The sequence below is a fragment of the Homo sapiens genome, chromosome 7 (genome assembly GCF_000001405.40).
Source record: "Homo sapiens chromosome 7, GRCh38.p14 Primary Assembly".
Taxonomy (NCBI): Eukaryota; Metazoa; Chordata; class Mammalia; order Primates; family Hominidae; genus Homo; species Homo sapiens.
Genome location: NC_000007.14, coordinates 154,887,158 through 154,895,042, shown reverse-complemented (window position 1 = coordinate 154,895,042; position 7,885 = coordinate 154,887,158). Strand labels below are relative to the sequence as shown.

The 7,885-nt window shown below is 52.1% G+C and overlaps 1 protein-coding gene across 12 annotated transcripts in view; it reads right to left on the bottom strand.

Annotated features, from left to right (window-relative positions):
• Positions 758–7,885, bottom strand: part of DPP6 (dipeptidyl peptidase like 6) — a 1,146,153-nt gene continuing 1,139,025 nt past the window's right edge. For all 12 annotated transcript variants that reach the window (NR_157195.2, NR_157196.2, XM_047419951.1 and 9 more), the window contains 4 exons: positions 7,309–7,367; positions 5,699–5,771; positions 5,513–5,586; positions 758–2,709 (listed from right to left, as the gene is read on the bottom strand). Coding sequence is in view for 10 of the 12 variants with exons in the window: in XM_047419951.1 (XP_047275907.1) it covers positions 2,563–2,709; positions 5,513–5,586; positions 5,699–5,771; positions 7,309–7,367 (353 nt within the window). In the remaining 2 variants the exon portion in view is untranslated. The remainder of the gene's footprint in view (positions 2,710–5,512; positions 5,587–5,698; positions 5,772–7,308; positions 7,368–7,885) is intronic.

The following is a 7,885-nucleotide window of genomic DNA, read 5'->3' as shown; positions in this document are numbered from 1 at the left end:
ATTCTTTCTTTTTCCTTTTTAACTCCTCCTCTCCACCCACCCCATTCTTTCCATGATTCTTGATCCAGAGGGTGACAAGAATCAGCTAATTCAGCGGGGCTGATGGGACTGATCCCCCATCTCTGAGGCAGCAGCTGCTCCATGGTCGGGAAGTATTAATTAATTAATTAAATCAATCCCTTGGCTTTCAGGCTGGGCCATGTTTACATCGACATTGATAACAGCAAATGAGTGGATACATTTCCAACAGATGGAGACATTTTTCTACAGTTTTCTAGGCCAGGCATGGTGGCTCACGCCTATAATCCCAGCACTTTGGGAGGCCGAGGCAGGAGGATCACTTGAGGCCAGGGGTTCAAGACCAGCCTGGGCAACATGGCAAAACCCCATCTCTACAAAAAAAAAGAAAAAAAAATTAAAGTTTTCTAGTGGGCAATGCTATGGCTTCCACTGAGAATCAATTTCACTCTCAGGGTTAGGGAATAGCTCTGCGTCTCCACCCTAAGACTCCCAAGACAAAATTCAAATTTGTTTTCTTGGACTGATTTGGGGCTTTGATATATTCGACTGGTTGCGTCCTTCTCTACTACCCAGACTGCTGCGACCATGGATGCAACCTTCATTTGGCACACAACAGGCTCTTGTGGCCATGCATCCGTCTTGGAGGGGCCCAGTGGGTTCTCTGAAAGTCTCCTGAAGCCTAGCACACTTTCTAAGGTGCGATGGGGGAGGATGAGCAAGAAAGGAACAATCCGAGTGGTAAAATAATGTTTTATTCCATGGATGAACAGACGCTACCATGCCACATCCCCACTTCCCTCCGACCAGATGTCGTGGCCAGAGCTGGCTTCCCCTTCCAGACCTAGCTGGCTTTGTAGTCGTTCAGGCCCATTGAAATAGCAAACGCACAGTCATGTAGCACTCGGATCGGTCCTGTTTATCAGCACGTTGGTCCTTTCACAAATGGTGGTGAATCACCTTTAAAACACCCAGTGATGGAGACCTTCCAATCACCCTAACTATAACGGACGTTCAGAGCTCATGTGGATAAACCCAAAGCCCCAAACGCCAAAATGCAACAGGGACGCATCTCCTCTGCTGATGGGATGCCAAGGACACCCCCGCAGGGCTGGGAGCTGGCGAAGTCAGTCCTGACATTCAGCTTGTCCACAAGCTCAAAAGGAAATGACAGTAATGGATATATTTCAAACTAGCACTTCTAGAGTCCAGATCGGCCACAGTGTCAGCATGCAGGCTCAACACGGGGTTAGCACTGGCGGGAGGAGGCTGGGTTGACTGCACAGAGGCCTGACACACATTGCTTCCTTTATATACAAGAGAATGAAATATACACTGGGAACACCGGCTGCACATTTGGTGGGGGTGTATCTTACAAGGCTAACGTAGCACATCATCAACCTCCTGCTCGTGGCAGGAAGGTCACGGAGCCACCCCCACGATGGGAGAGGGATGCGCGCAGGCCCACAGAACCCTCAGGACTCCCGTGGCCCGAGCACACACAGCGGGCCTGTGGGTGGAGTTGACGCTTTGTCTTTTTTCTGTTTTTTTTTTTTTTTTTTTTTTTTTTTTAAACCAAATGTCATGGGAAAGAGCTTGATACGGTACCAAGGAGGACAAGGATGGTTGTAAGGACGGATGTAAATAGACAGTGCACACCTACAGCCAAGCCCTAGCATAGCTGAGTGGGAGAGAGGTTTTATTTAGGTATTTCTTTTAATGGGTGCTATTGGCTGTCTTCCCCCTCAGTGTTTAGGAACGTCCCCAAGACGTCTGAAGACAACCTTGAGGAGGGAGCAGTTACTTCCGATCTGCTTCTTCATCAAGCGCAAAGTCTACACGTGGACTGGAGAAAGGAAAGGGAAACAAGGCCCAACCCCAAACAGCAAAACAACCCCATGACGGAGACAGTGGAGCATCAGGTTAAAACCATAGAAAAATACGAGTTAATTCTATCAGGTTAACCATTAGCGTAGCTACAGTAAGACTCTGTACAGAAAAGCGTTTTCTTGTAGCCCCTCACCATGTTGAACGTCCTCATTACAGGAAGTAGCAAGCCCATATATGAACACGCACTGCTAAAACAATGGTGCTGTAACTGCTGCGTCCATGGCACTGCGACGTGAGACAGGGTGTGATGTCCCTAACGGGAACACAGAGGCTAGTGTGGGCGGGTCTCATGCTTCCGCTTGGTGGCTGGAATCTAGGGGCCGGTGTCCTGTGGGCTCGCGTGGGGCCTGCGGCCACCATCCTTTGCTCTGTTCCTTGGGGGAGGGGCCGTGGCGTGCCGGTCTCTCGGGCGCCGGGAGGAGGCGCTGCTGCGGGGACAGCGTTGTCCCTGGTGCCATGGAGGCCGTGAGTGATGACCCCGGGGAAGGAGCTTGTTTCCCAAGCAAAACTGCCTTCCGCATCCGAGACACACATGCTATGGAACACCCGGCCCCGCCCCGCCCCGCCCCTCCGAGGGAAGAGGGAGGGCAGGGAAATCCCTCGGTTGCATCTGGTTGTAGAAAGAGCCACGTTTGTGCTTAGAGCGACCTGAGCTTAGTCCTCCTCCTCGTCCTCTTTCGCTGTGACTGTCAGCAGTTTGTCCTGGATCCTGAAGCATTCCACGAAGAAGTTGATGATGGACCGGTACAGATGCTGTTTGAGGCTGGAGCTGGTAAAGTAATGGCTTTCGTCCGGGTAAATCTGCAAGGAAGGCACGGAGAAATTACTCTCCCAGGTATACGCTCCCCAGGGGACGGGAACGCACAGAAGGTGTGGAGTTTAGTGAAACCTGGGCCCCGTCCGGGGCTGGATTGTAGTTGATGAAGTGGGTTTGCTAACCATGCCACTCCTGATGGAAGTGCCTCTTCCTCCTGGGAGATCTGCCTGGCTGTCCCAGTCAGAGGGGCGCCTCCCCTAGCGTGGACATGCACCACCCATTCGTGAAGCCAACCAGCCTTCAAACACCACCACGCCCCCGGTGCCTGGCCCTCTCCAGGCACAGCAAATGCTCAGTGGGAACTGGGTGAAAACATTGGGAAGCTCTTCATTCAACACTCTACAGTCCGGATCTGCTTGCTTGAATTTGCAACATGGATACAAGCTTAGGGACTACAGAGCCGCAGCCCAAGTTTTCAGGGTGTCAGGCTCTGAAAAGAAATAGAATTTCATGCCTGTAATCCCAGTGCTTTGGCAGGCCGAGGCGGGAGGATCACTTGAGGTCAGGAGTTCGAGACCAGCCTGGCCAACACGGTAAAACCGTGTCTCTACTAAAAATACAAAAATTAGCTGGGCATGGTGGGGCGTGCCTGTAATCCCAGCTACTCGGGAGGCTGAGGTAGGAGAATCACTTGAACCCAGGAGGCGGAGGTTGCTGTGAGCCGAGATCGCGCCATTACACTCCTATGCTCTCTCAGTTACACTCTGAGTGTGGGAAACTCCCGTGGAAGGGCTGCGTGCTGTCCTGGGTGCCCACGGGCCCACCCCACAGATTTTGCGTCCTGGCTACTCCCTGTGTGACTGTGGAGGTTAACTTGCCTGAGCCTCGGATTCCAGGTGTGTCGGGTGGGGAGGATAATCACAGACTCCAGCTCATGACACTTTGTGAGAATTAAACAATCTTATAGCCGTGCCGTGCTTAGAATGAGGCCTGGAATGTGGGCTCATTCGGTCCCAGATGCCAATAGGATGATGGCTAATTATTCTACTGCCAATGCGGTGATGCCACCATCTCCTAGGAGCACCGTGAACCATCTGTGCACGTGCAGGGATTCAAAGCCTGCATCTTATTTTTTTCTTTTCTTTTTCAGACAGGGTCTCACTCTGTCGCCCAGGCTGGAATGCCATGGTGTTACCATAGCTCACTGCAGCCTCAACCTCCTGGGCTCAAGTGATTCTCCCACTTCAGCCTCCTGTGTAGCTGGGACCACAGGTACACATGACTACGTCCGGCTATTTTCTAAAAACTTTTTGTAGAGATGGGGTCTTGCTCTGTTGCCTAGGCTGGTCTCAAACTCCTGAGCTCAAGGCAATCCCCGCACCTCAGCCTCCCAAAGTGCAGGGACTACAGGTGTGAGCCACTGCATCTGGCCCAAAACCTACATCTTTCTATGACACTAGACTGCCTCTTCCTGCCTTCTTTGTATGTTTTTGGAGGGTGAAATTCATCTTTATTTTGAAGTATTTATTAATGCTGTCATTAGGCTATGATATGTCATTAAAACATCAAGTAGTACAAGAGGATATGGGCAGGAAGCTTTCTCCTCCTGCCTCAGGCCCCCGTCTCCCGTGCTCTTACCTGGGGCTGGGCCTGGCTCCAGATGCATGGGGTGTCTGTGAAGGCCTTTGCTGTGCCCACATGTGTGTCCCTGGGTGGGTCCTGCTCCCTGATACCCATGGAGCCTGCAGCGATGCAGGCTGCTCTGTACCTGGGGGGTTCAGCTCGCCCCATATCTTGGGGAGTTGCCCACATGAACACATACACATGGACCTTTGGAGCGTCCATGGTCAGTGTGCTTAACACTGCCATGCAACTGCCACACTTACTTTGAAAAAGTCTGAAATCTGAACGTCTTTCACAAGGGAACTCAAGTGTGGTGTAACCCCGTCCTTCTGCCCCTCTTCATCCACACTGGGGTCCAACTCCCTTCTGGCTGGAGCTCTCCCTGCCTGATCAAGCCCACAGGTGGTCCCTCCCTCCCACAGGCAGGGATGCTGGAGGCCAAGGCAGTGATCAGCCCAGGGCAAGAGCTCTCTGAGGGAGGCAGGGTGCCTGCCTGTCATCTGTCCCCAAGGAGCTCTCCCATTCATTCATGTTGGACCTGAAGAGACCATTGGGTCATACCTGTTCCACCAAAGGAGCAGAAGGCAGGAAGGAAATGGCAGAAGTTTCCAGAGACATCCCTGTGCATTACTGGGAAGAGCCCAGGTTTGAGGCTGCTGGGTCAGCACTTGATGCTGTTGTGGACGGGCCACGGGTTGGTTGTGGGAAAGTGAGTTCAGTTCTGGGAAGGGTACCCCTCTTTCACTACTGCCTAGCTACAGATGGCCCCAGGACATCCTGCTAGTGCGTAGTAACATGTGGTGTTGGTCAGAGGGAAGCAGTGGGGCAAGGCTCAGGGCCCACCAGCACCACTCTCACCAACCCAGAACAACAGTCCCACTCTCCGCAGCGGGATAGCCCCAGCCACACTGCTGGGCAGGGTGGGTGCTGGCTTGGTTCTTCTCACTGCCCGGAGGAGGGGAGCAGGGCTGGGGTGGGAGTACGGGGAGATGGTTGTCCTAAAGGGATTTAAACCGGGCTGAAGTACAGAGCGGAGCTATCATTAATTATAAGAAAACGTTGAGCATGTGCTGATTTTCCAACCTGCTGGGACCTTGCTCATCACCGACCACCACAGCACAGGCGTGTCTGCTGCAGTAGAAGGCCCTGAACACCCGTCAGGTCTTTCTCCATGAAAGGAATGTCTTGCTCCAGGTTCAAAACAGAGTAACATGCGTACTGTACCTGTAAGCTGTAATTAGCCTTTCCCCTAATTAGTTGTGTAATGAGTTCTGCTGTGTGCTGGAAATGAATTTTTTCTGTGCAAAAAAAAAAAAAAAAAAGAGAGGAAGACATTTGTTAAAACCCATGGTGCCATCAAGGAGGAGGCTCTTACTAGATACACAGTGAATTCATGTTTTCAGTCCTTACCATCGGCAGTGGGATGAATGATCAGGAACTGCTGTTCTTCCAGCGCGGAGACTCGATGGGCTACCTTGGTCATCTGCACATGCGGGGGCAAGGGGACAGAGTTAGGGGGCTGCACTGCAGGGAGCCAGGTGTTCTGCTTGGAAACCTGACTGAGAAGGTAGGTGAAGTGTATTGAAAACACTAAGTTCCCGGAGAACCGGGATGCCTTATATCTGCAAAGAAATGCAGGGCAGATGTCAGAAGCCCAGTGGTATGGTTTGACTCTGTGTCCCCACCCAAATCTCATCTTGTAGCTCCCATAATTCCCACGAGTTGTGGGAGGGACCCAGTGGGAGATGAATGAATCATGGGGGTGGGTCTTTCCTGTGCTGCTGTTCTCATGATAATGAATAAATCTCACGAGAGCTGATGACTTTATAAGGCAGAGTTTCCCTGCACATGCTTTCTCTTTGCCTGCTGCCATCTGTGTAAGATGTGACCAGCTCCTCCTTGCCTTCAGCATGATTGTGAGGCTTCCCCAGCCATGTGGAACTGTAAGTTCTCCACTAAACCTATTTCCTTTGTAAATTGCCCAGTCTCAGGTATGTCTTTATCAGCAGCATGAAAACGGACTAATATACCACACCCAGCTTTCCCCCACATTAACTCCCTTTTTGGAAGAGGAGGGGGTGGAAGAGAAGAAGGGAAAAAGGAAGAGTTTCCTCCAACTCCAGGTAGCCTTAGAGGGCCATCATTTCACCTGGAGCCTCAGGGAGCTGACTCCCTGGTTGGACTCAGTTCCTTTGTCCAAGTTTCCACTCTGAAAATGCAGTGCTGCCTCGGCCAGGAGCTCTGGCCTCCCTCCCTGCGCACAGCTGGAGAAATGCCGTGTCTGACAGCTGCACCAAATCAACAGGTCTGACTCAGGAGGTCGCATCAGAGAGGCCTTCTGCTCCTCAGTCAAGAGCTCACTCTCGGACCAGGGGTGGTGGCTCATACCTGTAATCCCAGCACTTTGGGAGGCTGAGGCAGGTGGATCACCTGAGGTCAGGGGTTGGAGACCAGCCTGACCAACACGGTGAAACCCCGTCTCTACTGAAAATACAAAAATTAGCTGGGCGTGGCAGCGTGTGCCTGTAATCCAAGCTACTTGGGAGGCTGAGACAGGAGAATTGCTTGAACCTGGGAGGCAGAGGTTGCAGTGAGCCGAGATCATGCTGCTACACTCTAGACTGGGCAATGGAGCAAGACTCCATCTCAAAAAAAAAAAAAAAAAAAGCTCACTCTCCCCCAGCAGCACAGCTCTGGCTGTAGGGAGAGCCAGGAGTCCTGTGCACATCAGGTATCCATGGACGCTGGGACTGACTCCGCCATCAAATATCCTCTTACTTTCTTCCTCATCCCTCAAGTCCTATAATGGGAAATCAGGCGGAACCCAGAGAGGCCATGTTAACCTCAATCCACTCTCTGGTGGAATGATCCTTCGGAGGTTTCTGAGTGGGCTTTGGTGCTGGTGAGGGAGAAGCATGGGGCTGGGGAAGGCAGAGTGGGCCATACAGCCAGGGCAGGCTGGGAGACTGTGGCAGAGGCTGACTGGTCTCATCACATTCTCTAGTTGTGCCCATACACACCTCGTATGCTCTGTTGTCAAGTCCATGGAGGCCCAAGTACCTCTCGGAAAACGCAGAGGCTGCACGGAAGCAAAGGGAGGGAGGTTACCTCTGGCTTCGAGGCCCTGTGAGCGCAGCCCCCAAACTCTAGGGAGGGCCCTGGACCGGGTGCGGGGTGAGGACTCAGGCTCATTCCCACTTGCCACTTGTGTGGCAGATTGTTGGTTTTTTAAAAACACCACCTAAATCATTTGGGTCTTTACAAGGGGCATCAGGCGGTACAACGGGAACCTTAATGTGTGTGAGTGCCGGTGTTGCAATTTTCATCAGCATCGCAGAACCTTAATTAAGCAAAACCCAGTTAATCTGATTCCTAAATAAGTAGGATAACCTCCTCCTTCAACACTTAGGAAGGGCATGGGTGGTAAGAGAGCACATTTCCATCAAGATTTACTTATTTTTTAAAAAGTCCAGGCACATCCCTGCTCTTGGTTCTGCCTGAGGCCCTGCGGTCAGCTGGGTGACAGAAGAGTGTCAGGGGCTTCTCCCAGGGCTGAGGGCCGAAAGGGCTCTGCACAGTGCCCCTGGCCTGCAGGGT